The following is a 20496-nucleotide window of genomic DNA, read 5'->3' on the forward strand; positions in this document are numbered from 1 at the left end:
GAGATTAACCTTTGAGTCAGTGGACTGGGAAAGGCAGACCCACTCTTAATCTGGGTGGGCACCATCTAATCAGTTGCTAGCGTGGCTAGAATATAAAGCAGGAAGAAAAACATGAAAAGGCTAGATTGGCTTAGCCTCCCAGCCTACATCTTTCTCCCATGCCAGATGCTTCCTGCCCTCAAACATCAGACTACAAGTTCTTCAGCTTTGGGATTCAGACTGGCTTCCTCACTCCTCAGCTTGCAGATGGACTATTGTGAGACCTTGTGATCATGTGAGTTAATACTGCTTAATAAACTTCCATATATATATATATATATATATATATATAGGATATATATATATATATATAGGATATATATATATATAAAGGATATATATATATAAAGGATATATATATATAAAGGATATATATATATAAAGGATATATATATAAAGGATATATATATATAAAGGATATATATATATATAAAGGATATAGGCTATAGGATATATAGGATATATATATAAAGGATATATATATAAAGGATATAGGCTATAGGATATATAGGACATATATATAGGATATATATCTATATATAAAGGATATATATGTATATATAAAGGATATATATATATCCTATCACATATATATAGGATATATATCTATATATAAAGGATATATATGTATATATAAAGGATATATATCTATATATAAAGGATGTATATATATCTTATCAGTTCTGTTCCTCTAGAGAACACTGACTAATACAATGATGAACCTATCTCCATATCTTTATTTTAATGTCTCTGTATCTTTGTATTTAAAGTAGATTTTTATAGACAACACATATACTTGAGTCTGTTTTCTTAATCCACTTAATGTACTCTGATGATCTTGCTCTTTTAATTGACATATTTAGACCATTCGCATTTACAGTGATGATTTATCTAGTTAGATTAATATTAGCCATATTTGTAACTTTTTTTTTAAATTTGAAGACTTCTGTTTCTGACTCTTCTGGTTTAAACTGACCATTTTATAGGAATCAATTTTATCCTCTCTCTTACCATATCAATTACACTTCTTTAAAATATAGTGGCTTCCATAGAATTTACAATATACATTTTAACTAATCTAAATCCACCTACAAAGAACACTATTCCACTCCATGTGGAGTGCAGGTGCCTTCTAGCAGAGAATTCTTGATTATTCCTGCCTGTCCCTTGTGATATTGCTGTCATTTCATTTACTCACATACTATAATCACCCAATACATTTCACCTTCATTTATCCCTTCCCTGACTCTTTTCTCTTGCGGAGATTCACGTTTCTGATTTATATCACATTCCTTCTTGAAGAGCTGCTTTAATTGTTTCTTTAATGGCAGATCAGCAGGTGATACATTCTCTCAAGAATTTTTTTGGAGGGAGGTCTGAGAAAGACTTTATTTTTTCTTCATTTTTAAAGATAAATTTAATTGGTTATAGAATTCTTGGGGTTTTTCTTCTTAACAATTTAAATATTTCACTCCACTCATATCTTGCTTGTCTGATTTCCGATAAGACGTCAGCTGCAATTCTTATCCTTGTTCTTCTCTCTGGCTTTTTTCAAAATTTTCTCCTCCTTTTTGATTTTTTACAGTTTGAAAATAATATGCTTGTGTATAGTTTTTCTTTTTCTCCCTTCTCCTCCTGTTTCTTCTTCTCCTCTCTTCTTCATCTTATATTTATTCTGCTTTGTGTTGTCTGAGCTTCTAGTATGGGTGGTTTTGAGTCTGTCATTAACATTAACATTTTTCTCCTTTGGTATTACATATATGTATACCTTTTGAAATTTTCCCATTCCCAGTAAAGAATGTTCTCTGTGTGTGTGTGTGTGTGTGTGTGTGTGTGTGTGTGTGTGTGTGTTTATTCTTTCTTCTCTGCATTTTAATTTAGGACATTGTTATTGACCTGTCTTCAAGTTCACTGATTCTCTCTTCAGCTGTATTGGATCACTGGAGCATCAGTGATGCTCACTGATTAACATTCTTTGTTTCTACCACAGTGTTCTTTTTTGGTAGCATTTGTAGCAAATTCTTCAGACTCAGAATTTCCATCATTCTACTTACAGTCCCTGTTTGTTCTCTCATGCTTTCTACTTTTCCCATTACAGCTCCTGACATAGTATTCACAATTATTTACATTCCCATCTGCTCATTCCCTCATCAGGGCCATGGCTGAGTCTGGTTCTGATGCTCACTTTGTCTTTTTAAACTAAGTTTTTGTATTTTTATTTTGTTTTGGTTTTTCCCTTTTGACATGGCTTGTCGTTTTCTGAGGAAAATAGACCTCTGGTATGAGTATTTATGTGAGTGTGGCTAGGAGTTCATCTTTACCTAAAGATTTTTCTAGCTATGGGTGTCAAGGACCTCATATTCTTCTCTAGTCCTCATTTTCTTGGCCTTGGGCTTCCCTAAGAACTCCTCAAGAGTCTGTGTCTTGCAGCTCCTCTATTTAAATTACCAAATTTCCCACGTGCTTCCTTGAAGTCCCCACATCTACACCTCCCAGTGAAAGCCCTGGGATGCTCAGCCTCTGCTTTTTCATCACCTGCACTTCTTAGTTCCCTGGAGGGAGCACATGCTGGGATCATGGGGTTCATCAGAGGAGGACGGAAGAGGAGCATTCATTCAACAGCAATGGAGATAAGGTCGTCAAATAGTGACTTTCTTGGACATGAACCATTGTGGCTGGCCAATGCAATAAAGCCTCATATTTGAACATTATTTGTGCACTTAATGGAAGTTTCTATGTGTTTTATATCACTTAATAATCTAAGGGATGGGAAGTTCTAACGTGGCCATGTCCTGCTCACTGATGTGTGCCTGGCCTAGCATCATGTCAAGCCCATAGAGAGGGGTCAAGAACTATTACATCAAAACAATCTATTTTACAAATGAGGAACTGGAGCTTCCTTATGTGAATGCTTCACGAGCCTATCTATATAACTTTCTGTGCTCAAACGTGGAGGCATCTCCAGAAGTAACCAAGGCAACGTCTGCACCTCAAAATGGACAAGAAGACCTACTAACTCCTGTCACCCTACAGTTGCTCCTGATAACCACTGAGAATACACATGGAGAATCATGGTGGAAGGGACATCTTTGAAGCTCTCCTGACTGAGACTTTAAGACCTAAATGAGCTTTCCTCACCTGTTTGAGAACAGGCAGTTCTGTGGACCTTAGCCCTGAGCCAATGAGAAGGGGTCTCACTCTGGAGCAAACCCAGGTACACTTCTTCTCAAAATACTTGTTTACCACAGTTCACAGGAAAACATGGCAATGAGTGTCAAGGAGTGGGCAGAAAACATAGCTTGTATGCCTATACCACTGGCTCCAGCCCATGTGACTCTAATTGCTGCAGATCCAGCCTTGTGACTCTAATCACTGTGGATACAGACCTATCACTCTAATCCCTGCAGATCCAGCCCATGTGACTCCAATCACTGCAGATCCAGCCCTGTGACTCCAGCCACTGTGGATCCAGCCCTGTGACTCTAATCACTGCAGATCCAGCTCACTTGACTTTAATCACTGCAGATCCAGCCACGTGACTCTAATCACTGCAGATCCAGCCACGTGACTCTAATCACTGCAGATCCAGCCCTGTGACTCTAATTGCTGCAGATCCAGCCCACGTGACTCCATTCGCTGGCCCCAAGAGAGGGAAGCCTGCGAGACCACGGGCCTGGGGAAGCTAGTCGCACGGGTGTGCTGACTTGAGTAGAAGTAGCCCACTAACAAGGTGCTGCAGGCTGGCAGCTGAGCCGGATGCTGACAGTGGGAGGTGGTGAGTCCCTCAGGCTGGTGGAATGGCAATGAGAACTCAGGATCTGGCCAGGAAGCAGCTGCCCCCGAGGCTGAGGCCTTTCCCGGAGGTTTCTGGAGCCCTGTCCTCTCTGGTTTCCAGTCTCTAGTAGTGCCCCATTGGGCAGCAATGAAGAGCCCCACTGTGGCCATGACCTGGCCTAGTCCTCCCTGGAGCATTTGGGCCAGCTCATCTGAACGGGGCTCCCATCTCACCAGAACATTCTCATAAACAATACATTATCTCAATCCTGGGGGAACCATCACTGGACAAGTCCAGCTTGTCCTAAGGTAAGCGACTGTCAGAACCTGAGGCCTTAGAATTTCACACCTCCCCCAGCCCCCACACGAGCTCCTGGAGCTCCACACACACACTGGTTCACACTGTCAGGAAATTACGGTGCCAGCCTGCATGGCTGCTGCATCTCCTCGACGCCACCGGAGGCTTCCTGGTCTCCGAGGTTCCTTTCACAGGCACACCTGAAAGAGGGTTGCAGAGTAGCAACACGTGCCGCATGTTTAAGTAAAATAGGGTTCCTTTTCCTTAAATATTTAACAAACCCTTCAGGATATACGTGGACGTAATTGAAGCATCTCAAGTAAGCGACCAGCCAAGTTTCCAAGATTTAACGTTATCTGAATTACTATTCTAAAAATAAAGTTTTCTTATCTGAAAAAAAATGGCGATCAACAAACACTAGCAAAACAAAACAAAACGCCCTTAACTGTCTGGGAACTGTATTTGAAATTGACATTCAGGAAAATATTGCCTATAAAAAGCAGCTGCCACTGTTGGGTAAAACTTACACTGGGTATGACACAGAGAAAGTGAAGGTGATATCCAGGCGCGGGGCTTCATGAAGTTGGTCACAGAGGGAACCAGCACCAGGACGGAGCCAAAGGCGGTGTGAAGTACTCCCTGCAGCCCCATTCCCTAAGGAGGCTGGCACCTGGACAGGCGTCTGCCCTGAGCATTTCCCCTGCCTCCCTCGCTGTCTCCTTTCCTCTCCCAACTGCCACCTCCGGTCACCCCGACACCTGCAAAGCCTCCCACTTTTATCTGTCTAAGGATGACATCGTGCAAATGCCCTTTCTCAGGCCACTCTTGCAGGCAGTCACTGGGATCTTCCATGATGGGCCAGATGTGTCGCTACACATGGATGCGGCTCTTTCCTGGGGCGTCTGGGGCAGGTGGGGACAGCAGACATTACAGCCAGTGACAGTTGGGGACTTAAACCCACAGCAAAGCCCAGCACATCCTCCTGGGGCTGGGGAATGAAGTTTAGATGTTCATGCCTTGCTTTCTTCAAAACCTGAAATTACTGTGGATGAGCTTACAGTAGATATACCTCAGCAACATGTGCAATAATTAGTGAAAAATAAATGTGCACTTAAGTATTAATGAAATAAATATTTAGCAGGTTATTTGAGATCTTGGTTATATCCTGAAATGTTTAAAAAATAATGAGAGGTTTATTAAATCTTTAAATGATGACTCCATAAGAGTTCTTGCAATGTACCTTTCTTCCTAAGTTCAGAAAATAGAGATTTGTTTTCCAAAGATTGGTGAGCCAACCCTCAGAACAGAAGCTGGAGACAGATGCCCTGGACAGAATGACGAGATCTATGAGAATCTGAAAAACAAGGACTCAGTCACTAGGAACAGGAAGCAAGAGGGACACAGAACAGAGTTAGGGCCTCGCCACATCACTGAGCTGTCTGGAGGACACAGATCTGAGCGTGGTCTTCAGAAACGAGTGCTGGGATGCCACCACAGAGCTCACCCAGGGGAGCTGCTGACTGCTACAAAGTGGAGCGTGGGGAGCTCAGGCTGCCAGGACAAACATGCACAGGTGGGGGCTTACCCAGCAATATCCCCTCTCATGGAGCCGCAGGCTGGGAAGTCCAGGAGGAAGGTGCAGCTGTGGCTCTGGCCAGGGCTCCTCCTGGCTGGTGGAGAGCTGCTTCCTCCTGTGTTTTCGTGCAGTGGGGAGAGGCTGAGGGAGCTCTCTGGGCCCCACCCTCACGACACAATCACCTCCCCAAGGCCCCATCTCCAAATGCCCTTCCCTGGGGGTCAGGAATTCATCCCAGACCTGCAGGGGATTCTAGAAAAGCCGTAGTGCAGCCTCATGGAAGGCCCCTGTAGAGCCACCACCTTGCAACACTGGGAAAAAGGGACATCAGCCGCCAGGGTAAGGGAGACGCCAGTGATCCAGGCCTGCACCAGAAACACAGACCCCAGCCTCCCCTGCCGTGTCCCAGTCAGCCCCGGGCTCAGGTCCTGATTAGGTGAGCTCACAGACAGGTCTCGGCTGCACCAGTGTCTGGAAAGGGACATTTTGGTCTCAGACTTTGTGGAACAGGCTTTCACCAGAGGCCCCTGGAACTGAGGCTGGGCCAGCAGCCTGGAGCCCCGCAGTCCACATGCAGGTTGGTGGCAGGGTGCCCGGCCGGCCTTCTGATTCGCTGCTATGTTTAGTTTTTGCCTGGATCTAGATGCTACAGCATGCATCTTCGTTCCAGGAGGGGAAGCCCTCAGAATCCCCTCTGAGCCCTGCTTTAGTGGGAGGCAGATGCTAGGTGGCCACAGGTGAGCTCCTCAACCAGCCAGTGACAATAGTCTATAAGGGGAATTTCAGTAATACCTGCCAAACAAACCACTGTCACGGAGAGTGGATGGGAAGAAGTTGCTTGACTGGGAGGGTCCCTCAGGCTCCATGAGGATAAAGAAACTATGCAGTGTCCTCCGCCCAGAGGGACGCGTCCCTGCGGGCACACCCATCCCCCTAGACACTCTGAAAACCCAGGAAGCCAAAGCCCTTGGCACACTCAGTTTCTTATGTTTGAAAACTGCTGCTCTGCCTCATGGTAAACAACACCCTTCCTCAGGTGACCCCTCCACATACTGTGGGTCAGTGTGTCCCTGCCACAACAGTAGACAGAAACACACATGCACAGGTGCACGCTCACGCACGCACCTCTCGCGCCACCCCTTACGCACAGGCAAACTGTGCTCTGCTGAGGCTTCACGTTCGTCTTGCCTTTTTTTGTTTGTTTTTACCATGAAGGATTCCCACCGATTTAAAAATGAATAAAGTTGGAAGACACCTCAGGAAGCACACAGTGCCTCCTGAAGTGAGAGAGTGGCGCCTGAGGAAAGTCTTAGGTGGTAGAGTTTAAACGGTGTGAGTCTCACAGATGGGTTCCACGAGCTGGACAATCATTAGTTCTTTTGTAGGGGGATATTGGAGAGACGACATAGGTCGGGATGCAAGCCCCAGGACAGGGCCTCTGATAAGACCTCTGGACACAGGAGGAAGATCCCATTTTCCTATTTTTCTAAAAAAAGAATAGGAAAGGAAAAACCCTGAAGTCAGATGAAAAGCGGCCTCCACGTGCGTAACCTTCAGCACTCCGCTCACCTGGAGAGCCTCTACCCACAATGCACTAAGTGGATGATTAAAAAGAAATAGGGGCTTAACGGAGGGTAAGTGCGGGGTCCCCAGAGCTCCGCGAGCGCTGAACCGTGCGGCTACAGCTGTCTCCACACAAGCCCGACATTCTTTATTTATTTGTTATGAAATATTTATGGGTGTTATGAAAGGTTTAAAATAATGTGTCTGTCGCTCTCTCTCCCTTCTGTCTTTTCCCTTTGGCCCCGGCACACTGTTTTCCAATGCATAAATAATTCTGGGCTCTGGACAGCGGGGCGGCACATTAGGTGGGGTGTATCTGCTGTATCACATTTTTTCTGCCTGAGAGAAAATATCATTCCTCGTAATTTTCTACACTTATACAATCGGCGTTGACAGTAAATAATTGATGTATGAATTTAGGACTAAACTCCAACACAATATGACTCTATGTCAAGGGTTACTCCCAGCAGATTTTGAGCTAAATCATCTTGCAAAATGGGTTCTTTCAATGGGAGAAAAAAAGCTTTTTGAAATTATTTTAATGGAAAACTGGGACCTCCGTGCAGCTCCCCTTTTGATGAGGTCTTGCTTTGCATGGCTGGTATTAAACCAAGCAGTCTGCCCATTATGAGATTGGAAATGTTTCATTTGTGATCACAAATGGATTTTTTGGGGAGTGACACAAGCTGTTTTTATCCTGCTCATCCTTTTTTTCTTTTCTTTTTTCTCTCTTTGTGTGTGTGTGTGTGTGTGTGTGTGTGTGTGTATGCGCACAGTGGCGTTTGTATGTGGTAGGCTGCCCTCTGCTTTTCATCTTAGTATCTTCCATAGAAAGTACAATTATGATTTAAATTACAAGCCAGATATATTTGCAACTTAAAGATATATAACTAGCAGAAAGGCTTTAGATAAAGGGCTCCGTATTCCCTCCCATTGCTGCAATTAAAACACTTTTCAACATGAAAAGGAAAACTCCAAACCAGGAGGGGAAGAGTGGAAACAGGAGAGGGACCGCTTTCGTGAAATGGTCAGAAGAAAAACACTTTCCGTCTTCACAGCTCTAACTGAAAGGCAGCCAAGAAGATCAAAGAAAACAAATTGGGTGAAATTCTCTGTTGGTTTTACTGTACTGTGGGGGTAAGGAAGATTTGAAACTATCAAAACTCTTTATTTATGTAATTTCATTTTTGCTGAAACTAAGATACAATTATTTAAAGCAAGGCCTTCTCTTCTTTGAATAAATCTTATATTTATAATTATTTTATCTAGTATTTACAATTATATTAAATTGTATTTATTTATACCGCTCCTTTTCTTTAAAGATTATTCAGATCTTTGATATACTGAATTTAATTAAATTTGTAATATGAACTAAGAAATATAATAAAATTCAAAGCCTCCTGGAAAAAGTCCTTTTGATACAGGCAAAAATTGCCTTAACAGGAAATTGAAATGCCTGCTTCCCTTTTAACCTTCTTCCCCTACTCTTCCTCTTCCTCCTCTCTCTCTTTCACTTTTCTTTTCCTCGATTCTCTCTCTGAGGAAATACATGCCTCTAATTTCATTCTATAGGTGGCACTCACGTCTCTATGCACGAAGTTCTGAAGAAATTTCAGGCCAAAAACTTGTCTGTAAAAAGTCCTTGATCTCAGAGAAGTGTATTGATTTCTGAAAAACATAACACCCATTTCTGTAAAAATAAATTTTAAATGAGCTCTCTTAAGTAAAGTTATTCAATTTATACCTTTATTTGTATGTGGTGATAAGTAATTTCAAGAGTGGTGACAAATGAGTTTTATGTAACAGAGACTCTGAGCCACATGCTGAAGTATATGTGCATGCACATGTGTGTGCACCTGCGTGTACATGTGTGCGTATGGAGGGCATGCATGCGTGGGTGGGCACGTGCAGGGGTATGTTTGTGTTTTCAGTGTTCACACCAGAGAGAGCAGGTATTCAGGAAAAACCTCTTCCTGAAATAGGCTGGCTGGAGCCCCCTGGGGTGACGGCTCCCGGCTGTGTGGGCTGTCTGCCCTCAGGCACAGTGTGGTGTGGGGGCACCTGCCTCTGCCCGCATGTGTGTGTATGCACGTGTACATGCATCTGTGTGTGTGCACGTGTGTGTGTGTGGAGTGAGCGTCTGTTAAGTGTTGGTGACAGGGAGGTTAATCAACATGAAACTGTTTACTGCCGTGATTCCTACGTGTGTGTATGCACGTGTACATGCATCTCTGTGTGTGCGTGTGTGTGTGTGCATGTGTGTGTGTGTGTGTGTGTGGAGTGAGCGGCTATTAAGAGTTGGTGACAGGGAGGTTAATCAACATGAAACTATTCCCTGTCGTGATTCCTACAGTGGCTCCCTTACCAAGCTGGGAAATTGAATACAAGTCTTAGAACTCAGTTCCCCTTAGAGACAATCTTGTCCAGAGGCTTCCTGACATGTGTGAAGAAACAGAAGCCCATGGAATTCAAATCACTTGCCCCACACCCAGAGGTCAGAGCCCTGGAGGCTGTGTCCATATGTGCGCATGCGTGGATGTGTACCATGTGGACGTGTGTGTGTGTCTCTGTGTATGTGGATGTGTACATTGTGTGTGTGTCTCTGTAATACACACAGATATACAGAGAAAAATAAACACACATACACATACAGAGACACACACACAATGCCGTTGCATTGGCATTGCTCTCCCGTGTCCCGGGTGGCCTTGCTGTGGAGCGCCTGGTCGTCCTGTGTGCCAGTGTCAAGCTTGTTAATTAGGCTGAGCGTGTGTGTATTTTTCTCTGTATATCTGTGTGTATGTGTCTCTGTATGTGCATGTGTGTATTTGTCTCTGTATATCTGTGTGTGTATGTGTATGTGCATGTGTGTGGGTGTGTACTTGTCTCTGTATATCTGTGTGTGTGTGTCTGTATGTGCATGTATTTGTCTTTGTATATCCGTTATGCGTGGATGTTTGTGTGTATGTGTCTCTAGGTGAGTGTGCATGTGTGTGCGTGTGTGTGTGTATGAGTGTGTCTCTGGGTGTCTGCTCATTTGTCTCTGTATGTGCATGTGTGTGGGTGTGTGTGTCTGTATATCTGTGTGCGCATGTGTCTCTGTATGTGTGTGTATCTGTGTGCGTACGTGTCTCTGTATGTGTGTGTGTGTGTGCATATGTGTCTCTGTATATCTGCATGTATGTGTCTCTGTATGTGCATGCATATGGGTGTGTGTGGATTTGTCTTTGTCTATCTGCATGCATGTGTTTGTGCGTATGTGTCTCTATGTGCATGTGCATGAATGTGTCTCTGTGTGTCTGTGTCTCTAGGTGTGTGTGCATGTGTGTGTATGAGTGTGTCTCTGGGTGTGTGCATGTGTGTGTGGATGTGTGTGACAATGGGCATGGGGAGGGGGCAGGATGGAGGCCCCCAGGAGCAGAGGTGCACACCTGGGGCGCTGAGCTTCTGTCTGGGCCAAGCTCCTTCGAAGTCCTCCTGGGGTCCCGGGTCCTCTGGATTGGCATCAACAGGCTTAATGGGGGTGGCCCAGGGTCTCAGCAATGCTCAGAGCCCCCTAATCAAGGCGAAGGCAGAGAGAGGGCGGCTCGTGTGCTGAGGGCATTGTTTGCACAGCCTTGATGAGAAAGAAGCAGCGTCTGTTCCTGGATTTCTCTTCAGCCCTTGGTGTGAGGGGGCGGGCGTAACAGGGCCTGTGGGCCACTGCCATATACACGGCTCAGTTCCGTTTTCAGAGAACACTTGAGTCAGACAGGCCTGAGGCCAAATTCATCTGGGGTACTTTCAGCCAGGAGGTCTCAGGTGAATCAGTCTCACTGCGGGCACCCCTGGGGTTCTGGGGGGCACTGGTGACTTCCTGACCTTACAGACAAAGCTGGGTCCACACGTGCTTCTGTCTCCCCCTGCTCCTGGCTGGTGCCTGCACAGCCCTCACCCATGGGGGGCCCTCCCAGCTCCTCTGCTGCCTAGCCCAGACCTCCACCCTCATTTTCCTGTAGAATGACAGCGACAGGTGTCTGCTGGGTGGCCTCGTTTCTCCACGGCGCCCGCCTGCTCCAGCTGCCCTCTTACGCTGCCAGCCCCAAGCAGGCAGCCCATGACTGTGACTCCCGATGAACTACTGACTCTCTGGGTGGAGGAAGCTGTTCCCCAGAGCTGGATTCCAAGACTGGAGGCCGCTGGAGGAGGTTGAACTCAGCCTACCCTTCCTGCTAGAAACGACTCACAGTTTTCTTGGTTAAAACCCAGTGGCCAATAAAATGCCAACATCCCCAGAGAACTTCTGCCTCACCTAGTGTGGATGAACACGTCATCATGTCTTGGTGGGGGTCGGGGAGGGACTGCTACAGCTTAGGAGGGAGAGTAAGGAGGCACCCAGGGGGAGAAGGAGCCCATGATGGGCTGAAGAGCTGCTGCCGGTCTTGGAGAGGTGCCTGTGAGAGTCGGGGTCTGTTCTTCCTGTGGCAGGCAGTTACGCTCCCCGACTTCTCCCAGCATGAAATGTACTAGGAACAAGAGGCCTGCCTCTTGGCTGTCCAGAAAGCATGGAGACATGGTCGAAGACTCCGAGGCTTAGGCCGTGTCCACCTGCAATACACCAGCAGTGAGTGCAGCCTGCACAGGCAGCGGCGTGGCTGTGGGACCTGCCCGGAAGGGGACGGAGATATGAAGCCCCCTGGGGAATTGTGCATCCAGATCCCCTCCAAGCAATATACCCCAGCTCGGAAACAAGGTCTGATGCTCATGTTCCAGAGTCACGGTGGTTTTGCGGATGCTGTAGAGCAACCCTTCCTTGAATTCCCCATGAGGGAACCTGGAGATCTTTATTTTTCATGTGCAATCTTGTCTTGGGGTGGAACTGTCTATACTCCAAGACTCGGGAGATGAAAGGTTCTGCAGAATTCTGTACTCTGTGGGATGCTCTTGGAGGCAACAGAAGGCTCTGTTAGCATGGCTGGCACCTCTGTTTTGGCTCAGATGCACGCAGAGGTGAACATGACAGAAGACTTCAAGCCAAGCGGAGCCACCCCACTTCTTCATCAGGGGATGCATTCACTATCTGTAGGAAGCTTGGGGCCTCATGTGAATACCACATCGTGTGGACAAACATCCCAGTCCTGGTTGAAATCTACCCTGTGGAAATCCTCAACCAGGGCTTACCTAGGGTAGCAAGAGCCCTACTGCTGTGCAGATGGAAGACTTCCACATGCAGGTATATTAAAGGCTTCTACGTAAGGGAAAATTATGAGCAATATACCCCACCAACTTGTAAAACAATAAATATACTCTCTTGCTCCAACAAGCTACTATGCTGGAGACAGTCACCCTGCCACACAACCCGAGGGGGCCGATTCCGGTTGAGGTTCTCATGCGTCACGCTCAGCCTAATTAACAAGCTTGACACTGGCACACAGGACGACCAGGCGCTCCACAGCAAGGCCACCCGGGACACGGGAGAGCAATGCCAATGCAACGGCTGCTATTTTTAATTATTTGGAGAACTAATTTTAACAGAAAACGTAATTAAAAATTTGTAAATAGAACACCCCAAAGTGCTCCCTCTGGCGCCTGTATGCATCTATTTGACATTTGCTTAACAAATTTTCAGGTCGTCATTTTACAGGTACAACATCTACACTCCTGTATCTCCCATAAGCTTTGCAATCTGTGATCTTACGCATCATTTACTTTTCTGAGAAAGACGCTTTGCTTAGGTCTTCATCTTTTCCTGCCTAGTTCTTGGTGGTGGTAATTTATGGAAGGGCAGTCCCTGTCGAAGGGTCCAGCTGTGGGTGGCAGCGAGCCTGGCCCCTGCTGCAAGCACATCCCATCCAGCTCCTTGCTTGTGGGCGGATTTCTGGGGAGTAGAAGGTGTGCCATTTGGGTGGTCAGTTATGGTATTTGCAGAGTTTATCATCACTGACATTAAAGAGAAGGCCGGATAAAAGTTCTGTGGTGGGGGTAAAAGAAGAAGCAGCCACAGGCCATGTGGTACACTGGACCTGCAGCCTCGTAGACCTCCTGCTTGATACGGTCACCTCGGCTAGAGGCCGGGCAAGGAATCTAGGCTCCCAGTGGCCACCTTGCCCTTGCCCTGCTGTAATAGAACATCACCAGGTCAGGGTGATGCAGGGAGCTCCGCACATGTCAGCTTCTCCTGGCAAAGGTCAGTGGAGAGGAGGCAGAAAAAGTGTGTGCTCCCACGAGAGAGTGAGCAAGTGTGTGCTCCCGTAAGAGAGTGTATGAGTGTGTGCTTATGTGTGGATGTGTGTGAACGTGTGTGTAAGTGTGTGTGAGCTTGGGTATAAGCATGAGTGTGTGTGTGAGTGTGTAAGATACACAAGTGTGCTAGGGTGCGCATGAATGTATAACTCTCAGTGCCCAGGAGCATGTGTAAGGGTGTGCAGGAGTGTGTGTGCCTAAGTGTGCAGAAGTGAATGCGTGTGTGCAGAAATGTGCATGAGCCTAAGCATGCAGAAATATGTGTGTTGCCAGTTATAGTTTGTTGACCCTGGCAGCATTTCTGGGGCTGAAAAGACATTTGAAACAAGGACACAGGAAGACCAGAATGTCACCTGTGACCGCACTCACCCCCACCCCTCCCTGGGCTGAGGGCTGCTCTTTCTGGTGCACTTTGCCAGGAAGTTCAATCTCTTCCTGCTCAAAACCAAGGAGTTTCTTAAAGAGCCAAATCTGAGGTCAGCCTGAGGTTCAGGCAGGACACACCTGAGCTGCTCAGGTGCACCTGGAGTCAGCTGGTCGACCCAGTGTGGCAGCACCACCCGGATAGCCAGGGAGGCTGGCATGGCCAGAGAGAAGAGACAGGGCGGCCAGCAGGTGCTGACCGAGGTCAAGGCCCTTGGGGCAGCTCACGGAGAAGCAGCTGGACTCAAGGACATCCTGGAGTATGGAGCAGAGCCTATGGAAAGAGTGTGACCTTTCACAAGAGCTGACCTGAGCCCTCGAAGTCCCTTTTCTCACTTGATCTCACACAGCCCCAGGTACTGGGACCAGCAGTCACTGGTCATTTTTGCTCAGATGAGACTTGGATAACTTTGCATTGGTTGCAGGGCTGTGCAGTGGTGCCACCTGAAGAATCCGAGGGCGGAGCCCAAGAATGTCACCAACAGCTTTGCACCAGTTGCAGAGCCGTGGAATGGTGCAGCCTGGAAAGTCCAAAGGCAGAGCCCACAGGCGTCAATGACAGGCTCCAAGGACCCTGTGGCCAGTGCCACCATGAGGACCTACTGCAAAGTGAGCCCACTGCAGAACCCGGCCTGCCTGTCACAAGCAGTGGATCTGTGGATGTCCAGGCAAGGCCCTGGCCTGTGAATGGCTGAATACCAAAAGGACTCCGTGTGTGGCAGGTGAAGCCGTCTCTGTGGCCAGACCCGTGCTTATCCCTCCCGCCCTGAGCCCACCGCTCCTGTGCCCTTGCCCTGCCCCTCAGGTGGCCTCACCATCCTTGGGTGATGTGGCCTTCAAGCAGTGACACTCGAGTTTCTCTGACCTTGCCCACCTGCTAGAAGCTCAAGTGGCAGAACTGAGGTGGGCATGAGCGCAGGTCTTCAGTCTGGTTTTGCTTCCCCTTGGCGTTGTCCAAATGAGGAAAGCGTTTTTCTGATGCTTGTTCACAGAAGGAAAGCGTCAAACCCACCGGGGCTGTGCTCGTCCTACAAACTCATTTCTTTCCTAGTGTGAAAAGAAAAGGGCTGATGGAACGGTGTTCTCTCAGCAGGGAAGGACCCAGCCTGCCACTTGTCTCCTTTGGAAATGGAGCTGGCTTCTGCAGTATAAGGGCCGTCTGGAGGAGGGACAGCGCTGACATCTGCCCCCTCTGAAACGCACTCAGCCCCTCAGGAGGGGGCGTCGGGAGTCTCGGATGATGATGTGACCGAGTCCTGGGTGAAAGGTTGGCACTGGGAAAGGAGCTGACTCCAAAGACAGATGGGAGCAGGGAAAATGAGCGCCGTCTCAGGAACGAATCCTTGAGCAGGTGAGATCCCCCTGAAAAGAGAAGAAATTGCATGAGCCCCAGAGCTACTCCGTGGCACAGAGATGGACGGAAAGCCTGCTCTCCGGGTGGCTCTGTGGCTGAGACGGGCAACACCTCTCAAATGGAAACACCTGACGTTGCACCAGATCTCAGATGCGAAGGGCGGGGGTCCCTCCAGTGAGGACTCCCAGGGGACCGAGTTTTCCACCTGCGTTCTAGATGTTCTCCGTGAAAGCATCACGTGGTGTCCCGGTGAGGGGCCTGGCTGAGTGGGCATCGGCTTGAGCGCCTGGAGCTTGCTGGAGAAGAGACTCATGGGCACCACCGGGCCCACCATGCAGACTTCAGGGAAAGAGAGCAGCCGGAATGCGTTTTAAATCCTGCCTGAGAGCGTGGATGCTACAGGACTCCTGGCGTGGGGAACCCGGCATCTGTGTATGTGCCCGTGGGCATGTGGTCAGCGAGGCAACCCTCACAGGACCACGAGGCCCTGGTCGGACACAGGCTGCCCGCAGCCCCTTCCCACAGGAGCACCACCAGTAAGGCCTTTACTGTCCCCTTATCCCTTGCTGTTTCCCCACCGACACCCTGACGCTGAGCAGCCGGAGAGAGTGGAGGAGTGCGAGAGCCGCGTCCACAGCAGCAATGGCCCTGCAGAGGGGAGGGAAACTGAGGGCAGACTGAATGGAGACTGTGGGTTCCACTTCAGGGGGCTCGGACACGACAATCTGATGGTCTCCCTGTAACTTAGGAAAGACCTGTGTTGTCCTGAGGGGCTGAGGCAAGGACCACCTGCACAGGTAGATTTCAAGGATAAACGGGCCAGGCACTTCCAGAGGCCGACCATCTCCTGCGTGAAGTCAGGATCCCCACGGCAACTCCTGCAGCAAATCCGGAGTCTTGACTTCCCGCCCGCAGCAGAGAAGCAGGACGTCAGCATCCTGCCTGTGTCTCGTGCTTGGGAGAGAGCGGGATGTAACAGCACCCGGAAGCGTGTTCATGTGTAGTGTTAGGCATGTTAAAGTGTGGCATTAATGTGTAGATATCACTCCTATAGTTGTTAAACTGCAAGTTTAGCTTGAATTAAGGGAGTTGGGGGGACCATTTAACTCAATTATGCTAGTTTGGAAATGTCTTTGTGAGAGTAGGGTCAGCGCGGATCAGCCACGTGGAAGACTAGGATACGGGTCACACTTATCTGTGTTCCTATGGAAACTATTTGGGTATTTGTTTTATATGGATTTTTATTCACTTTTTAGACATGCTACTCAAGGGTGCCCCTCAGCTTCTGAGCGAGCAGTTGTAGTTTGTACAATGGCAGAATGGGCCAGAAGCTTAGGGTTTTGAACTTTTTTGTAAAATAAAGTCTCTCTCTTTCTCTCTCTCTTTCTCTCTCTCTCTCTCTCTCTCTCTCTTGAGATGGGGGTCCAGGCAGAGCGGCTTTGGTGATTGCACTCCCCAGGTCCAGCCCACACAAGGTTTAACACCAGTGGAAAGCCTTCACATTGGAAGTTCCCGAGGGACTAGGTTGCTTGTAAGCATTAAATTAAGTAGGAGTGATGCTGAAAAATAAAAAAAAACCCACAAAAGAACAACAAAGCTTCCCAGGCCCTGCCCGGCCCATTGTGGGTTTCAGCCAGAACCCCCCCACCCCATGCCAACCTCCTCTTCTCTAAACACGTCTTTCCCTTTGACCTCTGCTGTGCACAGAAGAACTCCGAAACCAGTGGGGCCACTCCCAGGACCTGAAGAGCGGGAAGGTCCACATCAAGGCAGCGGCCATGGGATCCCCTTGAGAGGGGTAGCCTGCAAGTCAGCAACCTCCCTTCCCCGACCCCAAGGGCAGGGGCAGTCAGAGGAGTCAGCACGGGTTTGGTGAAGATCTGCATCTGAACCACAGGGGCCAGGACGTTCGGGTCATCCCAGGACATCCTAGGACATCCCAGATCATCCCAGGACATCTCAGGTCATCCCAGGTCATCCCAAGATATCCCAGGTCATCCCAGGACATCCCAGGTCAACCTGGGACTCAGGAATCCTCTTTGCCCTCCTTATAGAAAACAGTAGAAAAGACCTTTGCCAACCAGTTTTACAGAGAAACAGGTATGGATAAAATAGAAACAGCTTCAATAGAGTCTTGGTTGGATTTTTTTTTCTAATACTTATTTCTAAATGAACACAATCTACTCCAGCACTCTTTAATGTAATAAAAACATAGCTCTGGGTCAGGTATGAAATTAATGATACAAATTCAAAGTATTAATGCTCAGTGGGCTGAAACAACTTCAATGAAGAAATCATCAAACTCCGTAACCAGACCCAAATGGAAAAAACAGAAGCATATGCACGATTCCAACAGCAATCTGCTATGAAGGCGATTATGAAAACATGTATAAAATATTTATTTTTAATAAGATGAATGTCCTATTTCTTAAAACCAAAATAAGATTAGACTTTTATTATCAAAGCAAAAGGATGGTTATACAATGCCACCTCTTCACGTGGATGGAAATGCTAATTTTATTATCTTAATTTGTACAGCTATGTTTCTTGTCTTTTTTGTTCTTTCTTAAGTTAAATAGGTAGAAATAAAAAAAGCTTTCGGGTTTCATGTGTATAGAGTGAAATCCATGGTACCAAATATCCAACTAGAACATTTAACAGATCCAATAATTATAGTGCCAGAACAATTTCCAATGTCACCAGAGTCTTGAAAGGACACTTCCAAGACAAATGGAGCCAACGGGAATGCGTAAGAACGCCTTTCACCATGTGAGATGCATGAATCTACGTGCCACTTTGCAGGCGACACATTCCTGAGGAAAGGAAGCTGAACACTGCAGTCTCCTGGAGGTGATTCCTCCAGGAGCACCACAGCCAGCGTCCACACTTGCAAAGTGCAGTTTCCAGATGCAACGTGGGCACGGCACGGGAGGTGGAAGGCAGCCCGCAGGGAAGTTAGAGGCCTCTCACGTGTTATGGGCAGCCATGGCTCTCCTGGGACCTGGCTGTTCTCAGTCTTCTGGCTCATGGAATGGAAATGGGTTGGCTCAGGGCAGAGGCTTCTGGTCCCCAAGGGAGCTCTCGGGGAGCAGTGACCCTGTGGTGGAAATGGGTCACTAGATAATGCTCAGGCAGCGATCTCAGATGCACTAAAGGGCATTTGTTTACAGTTGTCCACTGCAGAACAACCCGCAGCAGTGAAACCTCCAAAAGAAACTAAATAGACAGTGTTAGGGGAGGATTAAATAAAACATGTTCCCAAAATTAGATATTAATATTATGAAGCCATTAAAGGCATATCTTTGAGGATATTTAAATACGTGGTCCACATCTCACGCCAGTCAGAATGCCAGTTATTACAAAGTCAGGAAACCATAGATGCTGGCAAGGCTGTGGAGAAATAGAAACCTTTTACACTGTCGGTGGGAATGTAAATTAGTTCGACCGTGGTGGAAGACAGTGTGGCGATTCCTCAAGGATCTAGAACCAGAAATACCATTTGACCCAGCAAGCCCATTACTGGGTATATACCAAAAGGATGATAAATCATTCTACTCTAAAGACACATGCACACGCACATGTATGTGTATTCCAGCACTATTTACAAGAGCAAAAACATGGAACCAACCCAAATGCTCATTGATGAAAGGCTGGATAAAGAAAATGTGGTACATATACCCCATGGAATACTATGCAGCCATAAAAAGGAATGAGATCATGTCCTTTGCAGGGACATGGATGAGGCTGGGAGCCATCATCCTCACCAAGTAACACAGGAACAGAAAACCAAACACCACATGTTCTCACTTATAAGTGGGAGCTGAACACTGAGAACACATGGACACTGAGAGGGGAACATCACACACCAGGGTCTGTTGAGGGGTGGGGTTTTAGGGGAGGAACTTAGAGGACAGGTCACTAGGTGCTGCAAACCACCATTGTACACGTACGCCTATTAATAAATCTGCACGTTCTGCGCTTGTATCCTGTTTTTTTTTTAAAGAAATAAAAGAAATACATGGTTTAAATGGTAAAGATTTATGTTAAGTAAAAAGGCAAGATAAAAACTATATATTAATATAATCTCTGCTATAGAAATATCTTTATATCTGCACACATAAATATATGACTACACAAATACATATATATAATAATATAATACACACATACATGTAAGTGGAAATACCCAGTAAAAACATAAATAGTTTACTTGTGGTTTATTTTTGTATCCTCTTGTTACCTTTTGTCCCAACAAAAATCTCTACAATGAATTTGAATTCATCCCATCACTGAGCAGCCTTTATCTTAATGCATATTATGAAACTGTCACAGCGAATGTGCATGCACGATAGCAAATGAAGGTAGTCATGTTAGCACACTCGGTCTCCACTGGTATTTTCATTTTTAATGAAATTACAAAATGGATAGATAAAAAACGTTGTTTCCTGATTGTTGACCTTTTATCAGTGCTAGGACTTGTGAACCTGCGGTCGCCACTATCCTCGCCCTGCCCCGCCCTCGGCTCAGTTCACACGCCTCACTCCTCTTCCACTGAGGTCTTAATATTTTATCTTATTTAATTTATAAGAGATTTTAAAATCATATCAGTTGCAATATTTTCGCAGTGTGTCTTCCACTTAGTTTTATTTTTTAAATGCAAGCCTGTTCATCAGTTATGTGGTCCAAGGTATCAATGTGCATTTGCACACTGCCTTAAAAACTGACATATTGGGAAAATCCTTTTGCTTCCAGAGATTGGTGACCCCATTTTTTTCTTGTATGTCATGTGTTTTCATTTTTATTACATATAGTGTTTAAACTATCTTGTTATCATACTTACTAATGCCCTACGTACTTGCCATGTATTAAATGCTAATCTTCATATTCAAATGTGTGTATCTGTTTTTTCATTTGCATATTTTAGCATGAAAGCCAAACAATGACTGTAATCTTACATGTTTTACAATCTCCTAGATTAAATAAATTTTCTTTATAAAGACAAAAATGAAAAAAGCAAAAAAAAAAAAAAAAAGAAAAGAAAATTGAAGGTAAAAGGGGAAGGCAAGGCCGGGCACAGTGGCTCACGCTTGTAATCCCAGAACTTTGGGAGGCTGAGGCGGGTGGATCACCTGAGGTCAGCAGTTTGAGACCAGCCTGGCCAACCCACGTTGAAAGCCCGTCTCTACTAAAAATGCAAAATTTAGTTGGGTGTGGTGGCATGTGCCTGTAATCCCAGCTACCCAGGAG

The 20496-nt window shown here is 46.6% G+C and overlaps 1 annotated feature.

The window, feature by feature from the left end:
* Window positions 14375-15165: an enhancer, noted in NCBI's record as "H3K4me1 hESC enhancer chr5:2260271-2261061 (GRCh37/hg19 assembly coordinates)". NCBI's record gives its function as "activates a minimal SCP1, AML or CMV promoter by ChIP-STARR-seq in primed H9 embryonic stem cells {active_cell/tissue: H9 hESC(primed)}" and the evidence as "EXISTENCE:reporter gene assay evidence [ECO:0000049][PMID:30033119]".

The sequence above is a fragment of the Homo sapiens genome, chromosome 5 (genome assembly GCF_000001405.40).
Source record: "Homo sapiens chromosome 5, GRCh38.p14 Primary Assembly".
NCBI classification, from domain to species: domain Eukaryota; kingdom Metazoa; phylum Chordata; class Mammalia; order Primates; family Hominidae; genus Homo; species Homo sapiens.